The sequence below is a fragment of the Homo sapiens genome, chromosome 1 (genome assembly GCF_000001405.40).
Source record: "Homo sapiens chromosome 1, GRCh38.p14 Primary Assembly".
Lineage (NCBI taxonomy): Eukaryota > Metazoa > Chordata > Mammalia > Primates > Hominidae > Homo > Homo sapiens.
In genome coordinates, this window is record NC_000001.11 from 18837426 (window position 1) to 18860389 (window position 22964).

General features: G+C 49.9%; 1 protein-coding gene across 1 annotated transcript, besides 1 other annotated feature; it reads right to left on the reverse strand.

Annotated features, from left to right (window-relative positions):
• Positions 1-2173: 2173 nt before the first annotated feature.
• On the reverse strand, positions 2174-22235 carry TAS1R2 (taste 1 receptor member 2). The gene is made up of 6 exons (NM_152232.6): positions 22054-22235; positions 19906-20206; positions 16788-17561; positions 11916-12125; positions 4304-4427; positions 2174-3102 (listed from the first exon to the last, which is right to left on the reverse strand). The coding sequence occupies exons 1-6, from the start codon at positions 22233-22235 to the stop codon at positions 2174-2176; spliced, it is 2520 nt and encodes an 839-aa protein (NP_689418.2).
• Positions 12239-12372: a silencer, noted in NCBI's record as "fragment chr1:19176158-19176291 (GRCh37/hg19 assembly coordinates)". NCBI's record gives its function as "represses an EF-1alpha promoter that drives an FKBP-Casp9 reporter gene in an ReSE screen in phorbol 12-myristate 13-acetate-treated (for megakaryocytic differentiation) K562 erythroleukemia cells {active_cell/tissue: K562(+PMA)}" and the evidence as "EXISTENCE:reporter gene assay evidence [ECO:0000049][PMID:32094911]".
• Positions 22236-22964: the final 729 nt, after the last annotated feature.

Below are 22964 nucleotides of genomic sequence, written 5' to 3' on the forward strand. Positions count from 1 at the left end.
AGCTACCATGCTTAGGCTAGGAATTAGATTTAATTCATGGTCCCAAAGGATAAAACTAGTGTCCATAAACTGAAATCCCAGGGAGTAGGGTTTTGATTGAATCTAAGAATTTTTTGACAACTACAGTTGTCCTCGGTGAGGCTCCCATCACCGGAGGGGAACTTTAAAGGCTTAACATCCCAGCCTCAGGGCTGCTTTAGGAGGTGTGGAGCAGAGGCCCCCTGAGGTCAGTGGGATTCCAGGATTCTCTTCTCTCATGGTGGTCTGTGAGGCAGAACCAAGAAATTAGGTGATTATCTCTTTTACAAAAAAAAAAAAAAAAAAACTAAACCAAGGCATCAGAAGCATGCAAGAAAACAGAGTTAATAGCTTAAAACTCTCTGAGCCTCTGACAATCTGGTCCCCAGGGCAAGGGGGATGGGACACAGCCGCACCCAGGGACGGATCATTCAGTGTGGCTCCCTGAAAGCTTGGGGCTGGGGTGGGCCTTGGCCCAAGCTCTGGGCTCCCCTGGGAAGTAACTGGAGGGGACAGAGAAAGGACATTCTGGAAAGACCCTGACCATCTATTCTTGGGGTCTGCGCCCAGCAGTCTCCAGCCCACTAGGCCAGGCCAGCGCTGGGGACTGTGGGAAGAGGACCCAGCCACAGAGGAGGCTGGTCACAGTGGCCAGACAGGGCCTGGATGGCATCCCAGGTGACCCAGGAGAGGGGTAAACCAGCATGTGCACAGGATGCTGACAGTAGCCACCCAGAGAAGACAAGGTCCAGACACCCAGGGCCAGGCCCCCCACATATGGCCCTAGCTGTCCTTCGAAGCTGGGTTCTCACAGTCCGGCCACTCTCAGCCACACGATCCTCCTGGAACTGCCTGGTCTTCCTTCCATCCCACCTTTCCTCCTGCTGTCCCCACCTGCCCCTCCCCCACACACCCAAATTTCCTGCCTTCCAACACTTCTCTGTCCTTCAAGGCTCTTTCCAAATGTCAGCTTCTCTCAAAGGCTTTCCTGGTCACTGCACCCACCAGCCACCTGCCTAAAATCTGAAGCCCCTGCCATAGCACAGTTCCTTGTCCGGGGAGCTGGAGCCTTCCCCCTGTGCACTGTGGTGGGGACAGCTTCCCAGGCAGGGCTGCCTGGATGTTACTCTGTAGAGGACAGTGGCTCCAGGAATGGGCTCTGGGGAGGGGAAGGAGGTGCTCAGACAAGCTTTATGACTCTGGGTAAGCTCCATAAACTCTTTGAGTTCTTCTTCCCCCTGCCCTCACCCCACCATCTGTAAAATAAGGAGCATAATTGCACCCAACCAACAGAGTTTTGTGAGGAATACATGGGTAAAGTAGTAAAGTTCTTAGCCAGGGACTTGGCAATAAATGTTAGCTGTTGTCCCCATCAAAGTCAACACAACGGCCCAAAGTCACACAGTTTGGAAGTGGCACTACTGGCATTGAGACTGAGGTCTCTCTGATTCCACATGTTCTTTCTCAGGGGACGTCCAAAAACAGGAAGGAAGTGCATTCATTTCACCCAAGTGAGGTTTATTCACAAGCATTTGGGAAGCACGCTATGCCTGGCCATCCTTTAGAGATAACCCAGGGACCTGGGCCCGAGCGCTTCGGGAATAACGAAAGGAAATGGACACGTGAGACAGCTACCAAATGGAGCCATGGCTGCACTATCCGAGCTCACATGCTGAACGGCAGGCCCCACCCACCTACACCAACCCTGGCCCAGACCAGAACAGCCCACCCAGCCCAGTGCACCCAAGGCCTCCCTTGGCCTTGAACATGAGTGAAGGGAATGAGCTGCAACCTGCTGGTGCCCACTGTGACCGCCAGATGCGGCTATAGGCTGCTAAATCAGACTTTGTCTTTGGAGACCAATAGGTCACCTTGGGTGGTTTTTTTCTAGAAGATGACAGTGCCTGGCATGTAAAATAGGTCAAGGGAAAGCAATGAAGTGTGGATGTTTTAAGACACCCAACACTAAGTGGGTAAAAATGGCCCAGATGCAAAGGACCTCCAAGGAATGCTAAATTATTAACCAGGGCAAGGTGGGAGTAATTGGGGATGGCTTCCCTGCTTCCATCTGGAGTTGAACCAGCCAGGGAAGACCCCTGGCTTCCGCCTCCCAACTCTGTGGCCCTCCCTCCCTCCCAGACGCCACCGGATGGCACTAGTCCCTCCTCATGGTGTAGCCCTGGATCATGCTGTTGAAGTAGGCGGGCGTGTTGCGCTCCGGGTAGAAGAGGATCATGTAGCACTTGGGGCCGAAGTAGCCCAGGCTGATGGCCAGGAGGTTGAGCACAGTGACCAAGAGGTCCACGATGGTGACCAGCACCCCGCTGTAGGCAGACATGAAGGTGCAGAGGGAGACGGATGAGGTGAAATAGAAGGTCATGCTGAGGGTGATGAACTTGGCCTCGTTGTAGTTGGTGGGCAGCTCTTTGCCCATGTAGGCGAAGCTGAAACCCACCACTGAGAGCAGCAGGTCCAGGCTGGTGTTGAACAGCAGGCTGTTGCGGTAGTTGGGGTTACAGGAGACAATTGTGATCTTGGGGTCATCGGGGTCAGTACGGGTGGTGGGACTGAGGCCCGTGGCCAGCATGCCAATTACCACAATGACCATTTTGAGTACCGTGATAAATGCCATAGAGACGTAGGGCCCCTGGTAGCGGACCCAGTAGCTGTAGGCGCGTGGGAAGCGGCTGGCCATCTTGAAGGCGCAGACGATCTGGAAAGAACGCACGGCGATACAGGAGATGCAGATTGTGAAGCAGAGGGGAAAGAGGGCCTGGCGGCAGAGGCAGGTGGAGACCTTGGGCGGCCCCACGTACACCGGGACCACCATGTATGCCACCAGCAGCAGTGTCAGCATCAGGAAGCACATGGGGCCCCCAGCCGAGCGAACTATGGGTGTCTGGAAGTGCCTCCAGAATATCACCAGGATGGCCAGGGTGCTGAGGAAGCCCAGGGCGGCCAGCAGGGCCACAGCGATGGTGGGTGCCTCATGCCATTCCAGGAAGACCAGCTGCCGCTTGAAGCAGGAGGTCTCACTCTGGTAGGACCACTCGTTATTCGGGCAGGCCTGGCATTCATATTCATCTGCAAAAGCCACAGCGACTCCCATTAGCCAAGCCCATCTTCCAAGCACCTGCATCCTCCCAGCCCTGCACAGGGCCAGGCTCCAGGGATGAAGAGAGAGCACCAAGGGCAACCCTTGCATTCACAGCCAGTACTCCTCAAGTCTCATGTGCATTGGCTCATCAAATCCTCACAGCAACTGCATTTCACAGATGAGGAAACCAAGGCTCAGCCAGGTTAAGTAATTTGCCCAAAGCCAGTAAGTTAGAGAGGCAGGACTTGAATCCAGGTCTCCTTGACCCAGAGCCTACCAACTGCAGTTCCTCCCTTCCAAGACCTCACCCTCTGGTGTGAGAGGCATTCAACCACTGACTCAAAGAATGCATTCAATACACGTGTTTTTGAGCACCATCCATTGTGACAGGGACCTGGGGTGGAAGGCCACAGAGAGATGGATAAAACCCAGCCCTCACCTCGCCGCTATTGACTGACTGTGGGAGGAAGGCCAATGAAATCATTCCACAAACTTGTTCACCACCTGCTCTGTGTCCTGTGCTCTGCTAGGCACATATTAAATACTTGCATTGGTAAATGTCATCATCCATTTAATTTACATGAAGTCATGAAAAAGAATTGAGCTCCAAACTCTGAACTGTGCTAAACACTAATGTGGACAGAGATGACGTTGTCTGCATGTTCCTAGATTTTATGTTCTATAGGGAGAAATGATCATTCTTCTCATCAAGGAAGTCATTCAACAAGCACCCACTGAGCAACTATGCTATGCTTTGAGCTACGCTAGGCACTTGGGAGGCCAGAGGGATAAATGAGATGGTGTCTTCCCTGTCTGCCAGAAACTTTCCTCCTATTGCAAATACCATTCATTCATTCATTCATTCATCCAGTGGGTGTTCCCCAGCCTGACTCCCTGGGCCCTGGGCTATGTGTGTGTGGAGTGGGATCAGCTGCAGTCCAGCGTGGGGGAGTGTCGTCCCTTCCCTTCTCCCTCCCTCTCTGAAGCAGCCTGTATGGAGGATTTTGCTCTACACTAGGTTTTGGGAGGATACAAGAGGAATCAGATCTGGTCCCTGGCCTTTGGACACTCACACCCCCTGTGGGGTACTCCAGAGACCCTGCCAAGGAGGACAAGCCCTAGAGACTCCAGGGGCAGGGCAGGGGCAGGGCAGGGGCAGGGCAGGAGTGCTAGGCCTGTGAATCATACCTTCAGTGTGGTTGAGGAAGGTGCCGGGAAGGCAGTCGATGCACTCGAAGCAGCAGACGTGGATGCCCACAGGCTTCTTCTTTTGCCCTGACTGGCACCTCTTGGAACACATGGACATAGGGATCTGGAGGGAGGAGGGCAAGAGACCCTGAGTCCTCTTTTCCCACATTCTGGGGGCCCCCTCCCCTCTCCAACCAGCAGGATGTTCAGGGGAGGAAGCCTAGAAGCCCCCTAGGTTTTGGGGTGGAAACTGTAGAAAAAAAAAAAAAAACTCTCATGCTTCTAGCAGGGGATAAGGAAAGCAGCCATTCTGAAATATGCTCAGAGCATTCTGTTCTCCTTAACAAATGCCTTTCCTCAAGGGAAACCATTTTACCAGAACCCAACTGATGTGAATTTTACCAGAGCTTAACTGACATGGAAAGAGAAATTCTGAACTCCAGCCCTCTCTAGCCTTCTTGTCTTACCTAAGGGGGTGGGGTGAGAAGCACTTATGAAGGTCACAGTTCTGGGGCACAGGCTTACTGAAAGATTGAGACCTAATCACAGGATTACAGAACACTTCCCCTCTATCTCACCACCACATCAATCAAGGCATACAACCGAAATAACTGCAAGGCTGAGACTGCATTTAAGAAGGAATATCTAGGGAAACCCAAAGATAAAATGGGAGACAAAAAAGGACACTGGAGAAAATTTTGGCCTCTGACACCATTGCTATTTATTTATAGCAAATAGTAAGCATAGTTTTAATAAACTTGAAAGGACTGAAATAATAACAGGTATGTTCCCCAACAACAATGTAATGAAATAGAAATCAATAACAGAAGGAAGTTTGGGGAATTCAAAGACATGTGGAAATTAAACAACATACCCTTAAATAACAATAGGTCAAAGTAGTATTCACAAGGGAAATTAGAAAATACTTTGAGATTAATGAAAATAAAAACACAACATAACCCCACAAAAAGACAAATACTGTATGATTCTACTTATATGAGGTGTCTTAGGTAGTCAAACTCATAGAAACATAAAGTAGAAGGATGGTTGCCAGAGGCTGGAGGAAGGAAGAAATGGGGAGTTGTTCAATGGGAATAGAGTTAGAAATTTGCAAAATGAAAAAGTTCTAGAGATCTGTTGCACAAAAATGCGAATATACTTAACATTACTGAAATGCATGCTTAAAAATAAACAAATTGGTAAATGTTATGTTATATGTCTTTTATCACAAAAATAAAAAATTTTAATGTACCAAAATTAATGGGGTACAGTGAAAACAATACTTAAGAGGGAAATTTATTATTATAAACATCTGTATTTAAAAAGAAGAAAGATGTTACATCATTAACACTCACTATCTTATCAAATCACTGACATTCACTATCTTATCGTAGAGTTTACTCTTTCACTCTCGATCTCAATGTAGTCCACATGGAAGTTGTTCATCTTGACATTCTGCAGAATATCACGCTGGTCTATGATATTCATGACACCGTGGTAATTGGACCTGGTTAGTAGAAAGTAGCAAGCACTTTTATATCCAAGTAAGACCTATGAATGCCAGAGGATTGGAGATAAACCTTGTAAAGATTCAAAACTTGGGGTTGGGGGTGCTGTTACATTGGTGATGTTTTTAGGAGGCCAAAGGTACAGAGAATGCCAGGACATCCATTCTAAGATAATAGACAAGTCATCCACCCTACACCTGCTACCATGAAAGTATGGAACTTTATAAACCTCTTTAGATTTGCGGGACAACATAAATTGCTCCTGGAAATACTACTGCAACCCGTTTATCAGGTGATTCAGAAGGCTTTCAGTTTCAAGGCAGAGGGTAACAAGTCCAGAAAATGACTCTGAAGAAGGCCCTGGCTTCTGTATAAGCGATCCTGCCACTGGGGCCACATGATCGAGGAGATCTGATGATGTTTGAGTTATCTATGCTTATAAGAATGGGCAAGCCCAAAGAGAGAGATGCAACAATGCCATGCCTTCTACAACAACATGCTACTCACTACTTGAAAATCAACTCTTGGAGTCCTGCTGGGCCATCATGGAAATTGAGTACCTGACCCCAGGACATCAAGTGACTATCAGATTCACAGAGTCTTATAGAGAGGCAGGAATAAAAACAAGTCTTCATATAAGGGAAATGGTATCCAAGAAGCGCCAGTGGGTCCAAGTAAATTTCTTAAATCAATTATTGTGACTCCTGTATCTATTTCTGTTGTAACAAATGCCTCTCCCTCAAATCATACCTAAGACCTCAGGGAGAGATTCTTTATGACAAATAAATAGAGGAGAACATTCAGGAATGATTCACAAGTAGGTTGGTTTGATATATTAATGTGAGCTGACAGTGGACTGCTGCCATACTAAGCTTTTTTCAGGGATACAAAGCTTTTTTCAGGGTGAATTCTGAAGGACAGTAATGATGGGAGATACTGCTTGTATGTGGAGATGCAAGCAGGACACTTGGTTGTTTGCTTTGTGTGAATGGAGAGATGTCCTGAAGGATGGATATTCTTGAGATCCTGGACATATGGAATGGCTTGGCTGGTTGTTCAGGGGCCTGGAAGGAGCAAGAGTGGAAGAATGGAGACAAAGTTGCTTGGGGAAAGGTATATGTATGGATCCATGAGAGTGAGCACAAAGCATGAAGATCTCTGTGTCTCATGTTAATGCAAACCAGAGAGCAAACACAGAGTAATAGAAACCAGATTAAAAGGTTGACTTGTCCCAGCCAGGCACCGTGGCTCATGCTTGTAATCTCAGCATTTTTTGGGAGGCCAAGGTCGGCAGATCAATTGAGGTCAGGAGTTCCAGACCAACCTGGCCAACATGGCGAAATGCTGTCTCTACTAAAAACACAAAAATTAGTCAGGTGTGATGGTGCATTTCTGTAATCCCAGCTACTTGGGAGGCTGGGGCAGGAGAATCTCTTGATCCCTGGGGGCGGAGGTTGCAATGAGCCAAGATTGTGCCACTGCACTCCAGCCTGGGCGACAGAGCGAGACTGTCTCAGAAAAAAAAGAAGAAGAAGAAGAAGAAGAAGGTTGACTTGTCCAATGAAGGTCAGCTGGCTTTTGTCCTCAGCCACCCCAAGGCCTGCACAGAGTGGCCATGATGTCAGGGATGGAGGCTACAGATATGAACCCAACAGCTTGAGCTTCCTCTCATCATGGCTGACCTAGCTACTGCCATTGCAGAACACCTAACATTCCAGCATCAGAGACCCACCCATGCTGAGCCCTTGACTTGATACAATTCTTCAAAAAGACCAGCCAACCAACTGCTGAAAGATCTATTACATCAGATCTTTTCCTCTCTGGGAAAATTCCAGGAAGGGAATTTTCCTTCCCTGATTTCAATGCAGCATCGCCATCTGGGGGCTTACAGAGCAAATGATTTATTGATGCAGGACACTGTATCACCTCAGATCAGGAGTCAACTTCATGGTAAAGGGGTGTGACATGGGCATGTGACCACAGGCTCCACTGATCCTAACATATACCACATTACCCAGAAGTATCCTATCTAACCAGGTGATGAGATGACATACTAAAAGCTCAGCTAAGGTACCATCTTCAGGACCCCCTGCAAGGTGGGGACACTGCCCTTTAAGATGAAGTTTTGAATGAATGGCTTGTGTATAGTGTTGTGGCCTCAACAGCTAGAATATGTGTATCCAGCAACCAGAAGGATTGGCTACATGCACCATTATTCTCAGGAACCCATTGCAGCATTGGTGCTTCTCCTCTCTACAATCTTACACTCTGCTGGAATAGAGATTCTGGTCCCCAAAGGGGGAATACTTCCACCAGCAGACACTATAGGGCTCTACGATTACCATGTGGTCATTTTGGGTTCCTCATGCCAGTGAATGAGAAGGCCAAGAAAGGAAGAAGTAACTGACCTGGATTCGTGGGTGGAGCTGAGGTGGTTGCTACACAAGTGGAGTAGGAAGGAGTAGGTCTGGCACCCAAGGACTCACCAGGCAACCCTGGGTGCTTCAATCCCAGTGCACCTGCGGGTGGGAATCTGCAGCAGGCACAGCCCAGAAATGCAAGGCAACTAAGGGCCCAGACACCTTGGGGAAGAAGGTCTGGATCACCCCCCAGGCAAGTGACTGAGAGCAGCCAAATGCTGGCTGAGAGTGAAGAAACCCAGAATGGTAAGCAGAAGAGAGAGATGAATATCAGTGACAACTTTGGGTAGTGGCTAAGTCCGCCAAACTCCCTTTCTGTTAGAGACTGAGCTGGCGGCTGCTCTAAAAAGTCTGTGACTCCTCAGGCTCAAGGAAAGCCACTGAGTGGAACAAGAAATGGGCCTCTCTGTGGCCTGCCTCATATTTTCTCAACCCACTGTTTATTCCAGCCATTGCTGCAGTCACCAGTTTCAAGCAAGTGCCACCTGTCAGCACCTGGCCTCGGCTACACAGCTGTGTCTTGTATTCTGCCCTAAGGCTGCAGTATGAAATGCCCATGGGAGGCCTCTGAAGCTAACACCCCACAGAGCAACCCCTGACCACCAGGTGATGGGAGCTAGTGGATTACTGCCACCCTCCTCCCTCCTCTGGGAGACAATGCTAAGGTGGCTCTTCGGGAGGTCCCAGTAAGATTGACCTCCAGTTGCTCAGAGTAGTGTGTGGCTTGAGGTTGTTCTCTTGGACCAACTTTCCCTGTTCCCTGTGGAACTCTCCCCAGTCTCCCACTCCTGTTCCTGTCCATGTATCATGTCCTGGAATAAATCTTCTGCACATAAACCCTTGTCTCAGGCTCTGCTTTCTGGGAGACACCAAAGCTAAGACAGTATATGGGCTGAACTATATCCTGCTTAAAGTCCTAGTCCCCAGGACCCCAGAATGTGACCTCATTAAGAAATAGGGTCACTGCAGTCAACATAGTCATATAATTAGTTAAGATGAAGTCATCCTGGAGGAGGGTGGGTCCTTAATCTCATATGAGTGATGTTCTCATAAAAGGGATGAACTTGGAGACAGACACATGGAGAACACCACCTGAAGGTGAAAGCAGAGATGGGGTGGTGATGTGGGTGTCCCCACCCAAATCTCATGTCCAGTTGTAGTCCCCAGCGTTGGAGGTGAGTCCTGGTGGGAGGTGATTGGATCATGGGGATAGAGTTCTCAAGAATGGTTTAGTACTATCCTCTTGGCACTCTCCTCCTGATTGTGAGTGAGTTCTTGTGAGATCTGGTCGTTTAAATGTGTGTGATATCTCCTCCTTCACTCTCTCTTGCTGCTCCAGCCATGTAACAAGGTGGCTCCCCCTTTGCCTCCCACCATGACTGTAAATTTTCTAAGGCCTCCCCACAAGCTGAGCAGATGCCAGCATCATGCTTCCTGTACAGCCTGCAGAACAGTATGCCCATGCAACCTCTTTTCTCTATAAATTACCCAGTCTCTGGCATTTCTTTGTAACAATTCAAGAGTGGACTAATATGGGTGGTGCATCTACAGTCAAGGAATATCAAAGAGTGCCAGCAAACCACCAGGAGCTTGGGGAGAAGCCTGGAACAGATTCTACCTCACAGCTCTCAGAAGGAGCCAACCCTGCTGACACTTTGATCTTGGACTTCCAGGCTCCAGAACAGTGAGACAATAAATTTCATCTGTTTAAGCTCCCTACCCACCCCAGTCTGTGATACTTTGTGAGGCAGGCCTAGGAAACTAACACAGACACCACCCTAATTTACTCCACAAAAATCCCCAAGGCACTCAGAAACTCACAGCATCAGGTACCTCTGCAACTGGGGATAGAGTGCTGTCGGGGACTGGGGGGAAGAGGGTGCAGGCTATTAGCAAAGGAGAGTGATGAAGTCTCTTCCAGAAGCTTTTAGATCTCTAGATCCCCTCCCCAACTCCACAAGGCAGGTCTCTATCCTTTCCTACTCCAGCAGAATTCTGATGGTCTACTCTCTAAAGAGGGTAAAATAATGGATCTTTAGATTGACAGATGTCAGACTCAGTTGAAGGCATAGCTACCAAACTAAAACAAGAGTATCCAATGACAGGCTGTATTAGTCCACTTTCAAGCTGCTGATAAAGACATACCCAAGACTGGACAATTTACAAAAGAAAGAGGTTTAATGGACTTACAGTTCCACATGGCTGGGGAGGCCTCACAATCATGGCAGAAGGCAAGGAGAAGCAAGTCACGTCTTAAATGGATAGCAGCAAGCGGAGAGAGCTTGTGCAGGGAAACTCCCATTTTTAAAACCTTCAGATCTTGTGAGACTTATCCACTATCAGGAGAACAGCACAGGAAAGACCCACCCTCATGATTCAATTATCTCACACTGGATCCCTCTCACAACATGTGGGGATTATGGGAGCTACAAGATGAGATTTGGGTGGGGACACAGAGCCAAGCCATATCACAGGCTTTAGCCTGAATGCTGTATATAGAGAACCTCCGCCACAGACTAGCTGTATGCTGTATATAGAGAACCTCCACCACAGACTAGCTGTGTGGCCTCAGACAGGTCACACAACCTCTCGGTGCCTTCAGTTTCCTAACCTATAAAATGGAGAAAATGGTAGCATTTATCCTCTAGGGTTGATATGAGAATTGAGGTCCTTAGCACCAGGCCTGGCACACACATGTTCAGTGAGTGTTTACTTTGCAGAGGTCTCTGAACCCCTCTTCCTGGGGAGCTGGAAAGCCCTGAACATGCATAGTTCCCAATCAGTGGGGGAAGGACAGGACCCCAGACTGTATACCCACGAATAGAGGTCCTACCAGCTATTGATAAAGCAGAGGTCCCTAATCCCCGGGACACAGACCAGTACCAGTCTGTGGCCTGTTAGGAACCTGGGCCACACAGCAGGAGGTGAGCAGCAGGTGAGCGAGAGCAGAGCTTCATCTGTATTTACAACTGCTCCCCATCACTTGATTACCACCTGAGCTCCACCTCCTGTCAGATCAACATCCGCATTAGATTCTCATAGGAGCACAAACCCTATTGTGAACTGTGCATACAAGGGATCTAGGTTGCACACTCCTTATGAGAATCTAATGTCTGATGATCTGTTACTGTCTCCCATCACCCCCAGATGGGATCGTCTAGTTGCAGGAAAACAAGCTCAGGGCTTCCATTAATATTACATTAGGGTGAGTTGTACGATTATTTCATTATATATTACAATTATATGTTACGATAATAATAGAGATAAAGCACACAGTGTAATGCACTTGAATCATCCGGAAACTATCCTCCTCCCAGTCTGTGGAAAAATTGTCTTCCACTAAACCAGTCCCTGGCGCCAAAAAGGTTGGGGACCACTGCCCCAGGGTTGATGTGAGAATTGAAATCATTAGCACCAAGTCAGGCACACACACAAAGTGAACGTTTACCTTGCAGAGGCCCCTGAGCCCCTCTTCCTGGGAAACCAGAAAGCCCTGAACAGGCATAGTTCCCAATCAATGGGGGAAGGAAAGGACCCCAGACGATACACCCACAAATAGACATCCCCCCAGAGATTGATAAAGCATCTCCAGGCTCTGTCCCTAATGAAAAGGGCCCTAGCCACTCCAGCAAGGGCCCCAGGCCCCGCCCCAGGCCTGCCCACCCACCAGGCCCCCTGGCTGACCGTGTTGTTGATGGTGTGCCAGGAGATGTCTTGGATGTTCTTCAGCTGTCGCTGCAGGGGGTAGTAGGAGGCGACGCTCTGGAAGGGATTCTGGCTCCGGTCCCATTGCCACTGGACAATCTCCAAGTGCAGAGCCACGTCCCCTTGCGGGTCGAAGAAGATTTGGTGGTCCAGGAGAGTGAAGTTGACCTTCCAGATCTCCTCAAGCAGCTGGCGGGGTCAGAGGGAAGGGAAGTGGAGCTAGCATCAGAATCTGAGCCAGAATTTTTCCTGGACCTGGGAAAGATTCTACCATTCCATTAGCCTTGATTTCCAACTCTGTAATATGGAGGCAATAAATCTCCGAAAGGGTGGCAATTTAGGAGTCAGTGGCTGAGAGCTCTGCTTTGGAGCCAGACACATCTGGGTTCAGGCCTCAGCTCTGCCCCTTGCTGTGAGGCCTTGGGCCTGTTTCTTAACCTCTCTGAACCCGTTTCCTCTTCTGCAAAGTGGGAGCAATAAAAACTCTATCTTCTGGGCTTGGAAGCAAAAAATAAGTTCATCTATGTTAGAGACTTAGAGCAGAGCCTGAGACAGGAAGCACTCCTACCAAGGTGCTGATAGATTTCCTTTTCCCTGGAAGTCACCTCAGTCATCCCTCTTGAACCCAATACATGAGATGAGGTACAGAGTCCACTGTCTCTGTCACCTGCAAAGGCCAATTGGGGTCTCCCCTGATCCCTGGGTCCTTCCTACCTCCCCAGACCTTAGGGTCAGCTCTCATTCCAGTCTCTCCCCACCTCCCAACCCCCCATCACTCTCAGTAGGCAGCAGCTGGGACAAACTAGAGCACACTTTGAACTGGGCATCCTCCGACCTAAAGTCCAGTCCCAGTTCTGTTCGCAATTTGCTGTGTGACTCTGAGCAAGTTTCTGAACCTTGCTGGGCTAACGCTGAAAGGACTTCCAGCTCAAATATCCCATGGACCTGGCTCCTAGATTTTCCCTCCATAAATGGTAGTGTCCATTTGGCTATATCTTTAGGGCTCACCTGGCCTCAGGGACTGATACACACAGACAGGTAGCCAAGGGAGTCGGGCCCTGGCCTTCTCCCTTCCCTGCCTAGCACGTGAGGTCCTGACTCAGAAAGACTCTTTGGAATGTGCACAGGTTGCTAAGCCCAAGGGCAATGGTCCTTTGAGCCAAGAAGGAGGCTCCAACCAGGTGGTCGGCCTGAGGATGAGGATCAGGATGGCGGAGGCCCCTGGGAATCAGGTCCTGGGTGCCCATGTTGCACCTCTGCAATGACCTGCCCAAGCAGGGTTGAGCACTTGGGACTTGAGGGATCCAAGATATCACCCCCAAGGGGTCGGAAAGCACTGGCCTTGTAATTGTCCTGAGTGGGTGGGAGCCTAGACTATTATTGGCAGGGACTTGGGCACCTTGGGGTTCCCTCATCAGGTTGAACCCCGTTTCCCCTTCCCCATCTAGCCCTACCCCTATCCCAGCATAAGCTGTACATTTAAGGCAGACTCAAGTCCACCTCTCCAACCCCACACTCTCTCCTGAGGCCAGCACTCGGTGTCAGAGAAGAGGAAGAGGAGGAGTACATTCAGCCTCTTCGCTGCCCCAGGTAATTTGCATCATGATTGCACATCCCCTCAATAACTCAGCAGGGCACATATGATTCCTTCCATTTAACAGATGAGAAAATCAAGGCTCAGAGATATTAAATTTGCCCAGGTTTGCACAGCTAGTAGTGGCAGCACTGGGATTCCATTCCAGGTATGATAGCTAAGCTCTGCCCAGCTCACCGCCACCTGCCTTACAATGTACGAACAGGTGGGCCATATCCGAGATGCCCGAGGGGTGGAGAAATGTGGAGAGAGCTGTGTGGGGAAGAGCCAGACCAGTGCCGAGGGCCCCATTTGTGAAATAAAAGGATTGGACCAGAACCTGAGAAGAGCTCGCAACCCTGACCCTCCTGATTCAATGACTGGCTGAACATTTTGTTTTGCTTTTTTTTTAAGACGGAGTCTCACTCTGTCGCCCAGGCTGGAGTGCAGAGGTGCGATCTCAGATCGGACTACAACATCCGTCTCCTGGGTTCAAGCAATTCTCCTGCCTCAGCCTCCTGAGCAGCTGGGATTACAGACGCCCTCCACTATGCCCAGCTAATTTTTTGTTTTTTTAGTAGAGATGGGGTTTCACCATGTTGGCCAGGCTGGTCTCGAACTCCTGACGTCATGATTCATCTGCCTCGGCCTGCCAAACTGCTGGGATTACAGGTGTGAGCCACCGCACCCGGCCAACCTGCTGAACAGTTTTGCTGTGATGGCCACAAATTTGCCAGCCTGGATTTACCCAACCTCCCACTGATCTGACCCCACCACCACCATCAGCACGGGCAGCACATCTACCCAGTGTCATCTCCAACTCTTCTCATCGCCCCTGAGTCCTGTCTCTCTACCTCGCCTCTCATGGGGTGCCCATCCCCACTACCCCAGCACTATTTCATCACCATCCCTTACCACCACCCCTGGCCACTCCCTAGCTGGGTGCCTGTCACTTCTTTGAACCTCAGTTTGACCTGTGTATGGGACAGCAACCGTGTAGTAACAGTATCTGCTCAACAGTGTCTGTCTGGGGGTGACTGAGAATTCATGTAAAGAGGTGAACACCGTGTCCGGCACATAAGTGCCCATTCATTCATCCAATATTCACTGAGAATCAACGCGAAGCCAGACCAGTGCTAGCAACTTGGGATACAGCATTGGAAAGGATTGGCAGGGTCCCTGCTCTCACTGGCCTCGGTTTGGGAGGTGTGGGGAATAGCCAATAAACAAACAAAGGATATCAACACAATCACAACTTGGGATACCTGTTATGACAAAAATAAACAGAGTGCCGTGGTGTGACCCAGCAAGGAGGGTGGGAGGTAGTAAGGACACCACATACCATTTTGCAGGTTGAGCCCTTCATGAGGGGGTCCATTTAGGACAACTGGGAGGAACAGCTGGAGTCCAGCCCATTCAGGCCACAAAGCCATGTGCCTGCCACAGGTCTGCGTGCATCCAAAGCCAAAGAGCATCTTGGTCTAACTTGTCTGCACAAAAGGGCATCATTTTCTAATTCTCCCAAGGACGCTGTTTATGCCAGCAGAGACCCTGGGTGAAGCCTACATAGGGTGGGCTGGGCTCCCTGCCTCTTGACTGCATCATCCCCAGCCCTAAATTGGCTTGTTGGGCTGTCTCAAGAATGTCATCTCAGTGCTTGGAATGCTCTATGAACGCCTGCTGCCTCTAGACAAAGCCGCCTCTCCTTCGGGGCACTAGATGCCCTCCAGTAACACCTGCAGTTCCCGTCGCCTCTCAGTCTTCACCACTCAAGCCCAGTCACGTGGCCAGGCCACCACTCTCCCACTCTCCTCCTGGAAGGTCCAGTGCCTGTTCACTCCCTACTTCAGTCCTGCCTTCCCTGACCCTCTCCCACCATGATGATGCCCCTGCTCTGTGCACAGGTGCAATTCTGACTTCTTGCTGCACTTGGCAGACAGATCTTATTAACTGTCCTCATCTCCTCCTAGGTTGGGGGTCCCCCAGGCCTGGCACATAGTAGGTGCTCAACAAAAGGGATGGGACATCCTGGTTGCTATGATTGGTGCCCTTTGGTCTCCGCTGCTGGGAGAAGGAAAAAGTCAACTGTCTTTCATCATAGCTCCTGCCAGTTGCAGCTGGGAGGATGCCCAGAAGGTGAAGTGGGAAAACCACAGCAGAATGGGCCAGACCTGGGTTCAAAAGCATGGTCCACCACTTACCACTGAGCGATCACGGGCTAGTCACATTGACTTCCTGCCCCTCAGCTTTTCTACCTGTAGATTATCCTCACAGGAGGGTCATGAGTTAGATGTGATGTATACTAGGCATTCAGTGCCTAGTAGGCACTCAAAGAGGAGTAAAGCACCCATGATAATTATGTATATTATTAATGTAACAGGACATACAGCAATACACAGTATTTTTACCAACTGGCACCAGAATTCCTTTTAAAGAATAACTGCAATCTTTTAAAAGAAAAGTGTTTAAGGTTGCAAGGTTAGGATCTGAGATTATGGGATAGAGAGGTACAATTATATAGAATGAGAGAGAGAATTTCTTCAGAGCAAACTAATTTGTTCTGTTAAGGAAGTGAACAGTTATTTGAGGATGGGAGAGGGATCTAGCAAGGGGGCGAAAGGGGAGAACAAAGAGGGGAGTTGGACAGGGTTTAGGGAAGTGGCTAAATAGCAGGGTGGGAGGCTGGCCCCAAACTGTGAAAAAGCCAAGGAACCATTTAAGAACAGAGATCTCTAACAGCAAAGTATAAAGTGTGCGTCTCTAATGTAAATCCCCCCTGCTCCTCTGATCCTCAGTAAAACCTTCTATATCCCAGAAAGCTTCGTGGTGGGAGGTCTCTGTGTGTGCCTGTGGATGTGGATGTGTGTGTTAAGCCAGAAGAACAGATTTAAAGTCTATGTCTGAACCAGGGTGATAGAGAACTAGGGTAATGAAGACCCACAAAAGCAATTCAAGGCCTTTAGAGGGTCCACGCGAAAACACAAGCCCGTCCCAGGCTCTCAACCTTGGAGAGACTGGGGGAGGGGGGCGCTGCCGTTCCCACTGCCTGTGGGATTTCCTTCTGGTGAATTCCACCTGAATCTCCCAAGAACAGACTACTATCTTGAATGGTGAGTGTTCAATTAATTTAAAAAGCAATTTTGTTTTGGCACCAGGAAGGACTAGTGCTATGTGTCTGGAAGAATGGGATACTCATGCCCTTTCACACCCATTTGCCCAGAACCCCAGGGGAGGAGGATGGAGGTGCCCTGCAGACTCTATGGCAGCCACCCCCTCACCTGCCAGGGGTAGACCACCCTCTTGGTGCAGGTGCTTTTGTCACAGCCGAGGAGGCTGTGCAGGGCATGGGCCACAGCATAGACCGCAGAGTACACGCTGTAGACGACACGCTCCCCAGAGAGCCTGAGAATGGTGTTGAAGGACAAGGTGGCGTTCAGGCAGTTGTCGCACTCCTGGTTGCAGGTATAGCTCTGGCTGGTCCTGCTGAGGGGTGGCGGCCCAGCCTGTGGGCCCCACTCGCGGAACTCACTGAAGCCCGGGATGGGCACGCTCTGGATGGTGATGCCCAGGAAGGTGCCCAAGTGGCGCAGCTCCGTGAGGTTGTGCAGGACCGGGTCGATGGCCCAGGACTCGGAGGCGATCCACACGGCGCCAGTGAAGTTCTGGCGCAGCACCTCATTGAAGAAGTGGTACAGGGTCAGGTCGGGCGAGAACACGACCACGACGCGCGCTGTGCTCTGCTGCAGCTTGTCCACAATGGTCACCAGGCGCTGGCGCTCCTCTGACGTCATGTTCTGGTTGGGCTGCAGTGTGGGCAGCGTCTCCTGGAAGGCGATGCAGATGTCGCGCCGGGCCACGCGCTCGCCAAGCAGCTGGCCATTGTCGCGGCCATAGGTGTCGCTGCTCACCAGCACAATGATCCAGTTCCAGCGGAAGTGCAGCATCAGCTGCACCATGGCCTCGATGTGGTGGTCGGCGCTGGGTGTGGTACGCAGCAAAGCCGGGAAGCGCACCTTGTCTCGCAGCTCATCGCTGATGGCGCTGTAGGTGATCTGCAAGGGGAAGGGCTGTGGCATGAGCGAGTGCCCCGCTGGGTGCTCTGCCCCCACCCCAGGGCTCTATCCACCATCATCATCTGGGAAGCACCTAGTGCAAGCCACCCCAGGGGTAGGTGGTTTACACCATCGTCAATCATCATGGTCCCCAGGTAGCCCCATGCAATAAGAACCTACTGTGTGCCAGGCCCTAGGCCAGGTGCCTTATCTCAGTCTTATCACGATTATTGAGCACCTACTGTGTACCACACCCTGGGCCAAGCCACATACACCATCATCCTCATGGTCATCAGCACACTGGCTTTTATTGAGAACCACATCCTGGGCTAGGTGAATGACATAGCCATCATCCCCATCATCTAGAAACTCTTACTAAGCACAGCGCTTTCCTCCTCCCCCTCATCACCGTCAGGCTCATCAACTAGCCACATTTCTTCCCTCCACCTCCAGGGCTCCATGGTTTCCTTCCCAACTCACTGGGAGTTCCATCTCCTTTCCTGGTTCCTTCTCTTCTCTATGACCTCTTAACCTTGGAGGACCCTGGGCTCAGGCCTCAGTCCCTGCCTTTTCTCCAGCTGCTCTCCCCCTCCCTTGGTGGTCCCATCCAGCCTCATGGCTTAATATCCCATTTCCACGTCAACAACTCCCAGTGGATAGCCCTGGCCGGGACTTCTCTCCTGAACTTCAGATGCATACCACAACTGCCTGCCTGACATCTCAAACTTCACAGATCGAAACTGAACCCTGTTCTCCTCTGAGCCTGCTCCATCCACACCCTCCCCCATCTTGGCTGGTGATGAATCCATCATTCCAGTGACTCAGGGCAAAAACTCTGGAGTCGTCCTTGACTCTTCTTTCGCACACAGGTCACACTGGATCCATCAGCAAATCCTCTTGGCTCTACCTTTAAAATGTATCCATCCAGTGCCTACCAGCTCCCCACTCCCTCCTGTCCAGCCACCATCATCCCCGGCCTGCACTGCAACATTACCCATCCACCTTTCCCCTATAGTCTATGCTTAACATGGCAGCCCAGTGACCCTGCTCACACACATGTCAGGTCACTTTACTCCTCTTCTCAGAACTCCTCAACAGCTCCTAACGTCACCCAGGAAAAGCCAGTCCTTGAATGGCCCCTAAGGGCTCCGTCATTTATCTGCACAACTCTCGCCTGTCTGATTTCATCTCCTTCTCCTCTCCCTCTGGTTCCAGTTCTGCTCATCTAGTTCCGCAAACATACCAGGCACCTCCTGGCCTTGGCACTTGCTAACCCCTCTTCTTGGAATGTTCTTCTGCTAGGTCCCTCATGGCTCCCTCACTCCTTCACCTCCCTCAAGTCTTCGCCCAATTGTCAGTGACACCCACCTGACCACCCTGTTGAAAATTGCAATCTCCTTCTACCAACTCCTCCTTTCCACTGACATGCCAGACACCCCCACCCTGCCCACATTTTTATTTTATTCATTGCACTTCTCACCTCTAACATCCTGCATCACCTATTATTGTTTACATTTATTTTCTGTCTCTCTCCACTAGAAGAGAAACTCCATGAGGGCGATGATTTCTAAGTTGTTGCCAGCTGTATCCCAGCACCTACAACAGTACCTGGCACATAGTAGGTGCTCAATAAATATCTGTTACATGAATGAAAGAATGAATTCAGTCCTCAGCTAGATGCTTCATGTAAAAGTACTAACATTAAACAGTAACAATCACAATATTTGTGACTACCTACTGTGTGCCAAGTCTTTTGCTAGCTGATCTTTAATGAATATATAGCCTGTACCAGTACTGCACTTGGCACTTTCAATCATGATTATGATAATAGTTATAATAATAGTAGTAATACAAATCACCCTTTTGTGAGGACCTACTACGAGGCAGACCTTGTGCTAGGCAGCTGTACAGAATAATACTAAGCACTTCAAGTTTTTATTCCTGTGCAAGATGCTTTATAAAACAACATTATTTACTACCTACTGTGTGCCAGAAATTTACACAGGTTGAACACTAACCTTCAGACAGTCCTGGGATGGAACGCTTATCATCCCACTTTACAGGTGAGGAAACTGAGGCTAGAAGAGTCAAGAGATTTGCCAAAGGCTTCACTGTGGCCAAGGCTCGGTGCCAAGTTGCACAACCAGATCTGCCCGCTTCCAAAGCCTGAGCCCTTACTCCATAAGCTGGGCTACCTTCTCAAGATTTGGGCTGATGTCCTGACCCTGCTTCTGGTCCTATCATCACCTCCCATGATTGATGGAGGAAGTGGCTTCTGAGGCCTCTAGACAGCCATTCCTCTGCCCCCCTCCCCAGGTCCTTCTCCAGGGCCCAGGGGCCTCACCTGTGGAAGGAGAAATAGGGAGAGGAAGTTGGCCACAGTCATGACAGACTCGGAGTTGTCAGGGCCAATGACAGCCACCACACGGGAAATGTAGTTACTGTAGTCCTCTTGGATGGGAAGGAGGTTGTCCTCGTGTGCCAGGAAGTAGAGCACCGGCTGGACATTGTTGGAGATGTAGCACACATCCACGATCTCATAGCCCAGCAGCACACCAGGCAGCAGGCTGCTGTCATTGTTGATCTCCTCCACCGCAAAGCGCATGGCCTGCATGAGGTTGTAGCCTATCACCTTCACTTCATACCTGGAGGGGCCACAGCATCATGAGGTGGAAGCAGATCCAGAATGAGGAAGGAAGAGATAAGAGAACCAGCCCACTCCTCCTTCCTGCCACAGGAAAGCCAAGGCATTGACTGAGAAGAGCCACTCCAGAAGACTCGGGCATTTTCACCATGTCATTGTCACCATACCACATCTCTAGGGTCACCATTGCCCATATGGCCACCACTGATACTGTTATCCATGTGGCCATCATCACTACTATCCCTATAACCTCCATCACCACTCTACCAATGTCCACCAATGTGACCATCATTATCCACTAAGACTTCCATCACCACCATCACCACTATCACCATCATCACCCACTACCCATATTACCAATATCACCACCAGGGCCATCACTGTCACCACAACCTTGTGACCATCATCACCACCATCATCACCGTCACCACCATCACTATCAGCACGACCATTATCACAGCCATCATCACCACCATCACCACCACCATTTCCACCATCACCACCACCAACATCATCATCACTACCATCACCAACGCCATCAGTAACACCCTCACCACCATCACCATCATCAGCACCATCATTATCAGCATCACCATCATCACCACCCCCATCACCATCATCACTACCATCACCAACGTCATCACTAACACCATCAGCACCATCATCAGCATCACTACGATCACCACCATCACCAACACCATCACTAACACCATCACCAGCATCACTACCATCGCCATCATCACCAACACCATCACCACCATCAGCACCATCTTCAGCATCACTATCATCACCACCAACACCATCATCACTACCATCACCATCATCACCAACACTATCGTTAAAACCATCACCATCATCAACGCAACCATCACCATTATCACTACCAGCACCATCACTGCCAACACTATTACCACCACTGCCATCATCATCACTACCATCACCATCATCACCACCATTACCACTATCATCATCATCATCACCATCATACTTTTTATCATTGTCATCATCACCAGTATTACTGTTATCAACATTATCAGCATCACCACCATTACTTTCATCACAACTATCACCATCATTATACACCCCACCATGATCACAAGCATTAGAAAACCCAGCATCATGCCTGGTGCCATCACCTTCACCATTCTCAAGCCAGCATATAATCTTCCCCAGTGTCATAAATGATGCATTTCTCATACTCAACCCTTAATCATCTTTTGCACTGTTCTTCCTTTCTCCTTGTCTCCCGCAATACCTTCACCCTCTCTGCAAGAGGTCACTCTTTTTTAGTCCCAGGCTGGCTCCATGTCCTTCGTGCTTGCATGCAGATGCACACAGCCCCCACAATCTCCAAGTGATGCTGCCACCCCAAGGGGCTCAGGGAGGAGGTGGGGGAAGAGGAACTTCCCTCTCGGCCCAAAAGCACCCCTACCCACCACAGAACCTGCTACAGAAAAATCACATTCTGCCTCCCAAAGGTTTTCAGAATGGGCTTTGACATGGACCCATTGGGAGTCCCCCAGTTGCCAAAGTGGGTGGGAGCAGTCTTGATGGCCTCTAAGAGCCCTCTAGGCTCAAACATTCTGTAACTCTATTTAAAAAAAATGGCACTGAGATGACCCCAGTCTCAGTGTTTCAGAGCACAGTCGCCAAAGATTTTGGTAACCCATATTATACGGGGCCTCCCTGAGGACTAGGGGCATGGATCCAGAATAAGGGGGTTGGCAATGAATGGGGAGGAGTGCTTTAAGCCCTTGGTCCTGGTCTGGCTCCCAAGGACCCACAGGACCAGGCCTGGCCTCCCACCCCATCCCCACTGCCACTTCCAGCCCCACACTGGAGACTCACTCCTTGCACATGGGCACCTGCAGGAAGTTAAGGTGAACAATGCCCTTCATGTTGGCATGGAGGGAGAAGAGGCCACCCAGGAGGTAATCCCCAGGCAGGTAGAAGTCCGAGTTCTCAGCCGGCTCAGCCAGGACCCATAGGAGGAAGAACAGGGAGGAGATGGTCTTTGCCCTGGGCCCCATGGCTGGGAAGTGATGGTCTCAGGAGGTAGTCCTGCCTCACTGGAGAATTGGCAGCTTGACACCAGGGTATTTGCACAGACATTTACATAGCGATGGTCCTGCCACCGACTGTGGGGCACCTGGAGCAGGTGGAGAGGTTTGGGGGCCCAGAGGGAGGAAAGGAGGGTGGAATTATGATGATTCTTTCTTAGAGCATAGAGGGGCTAGGTGGTCTAGGGGAACCCTATTTGGAAAGAGAGAGCATCCTGATAACTTGGCCATGCCCTGGCCTTCTGCCACTTGTCCAAGGACAAGTCTCATCTTCCTGACATTTCAAATATTTCAGGAGTAAAGGACATAAGTGCTGTCAGGAAACAGAGTACTGTGGCCAAAAGAGCCCAAGCTCTGGAGTCCAGCCAAGTTAGGCCAGGCATGTAGTGATGTATAGGTGTGGAGAAAGTGGTAGCCATTGTCAATAAGAACCAGGCATCATGCTGGTGTCGCGGTTCATCATCTCATATAATGGTTGCAGTAACCGGGACTATTACTAACCCCATTTCAAAGATGAAGAAATGGAGGCACTGAGAAATTAAGAAATCCAGCCCAGGCTTCCTGACTAGCAGAGCTGAGATTCAAACCACATGGTCTGACTCCGGGGCTGGGTCCTTCATCGCTACATCACATTACATCACAAAATTAGTGCTTTTGATAAAAAAAAAAAAAAAAAAAAAACCCAGCGGTGTCAAAGAG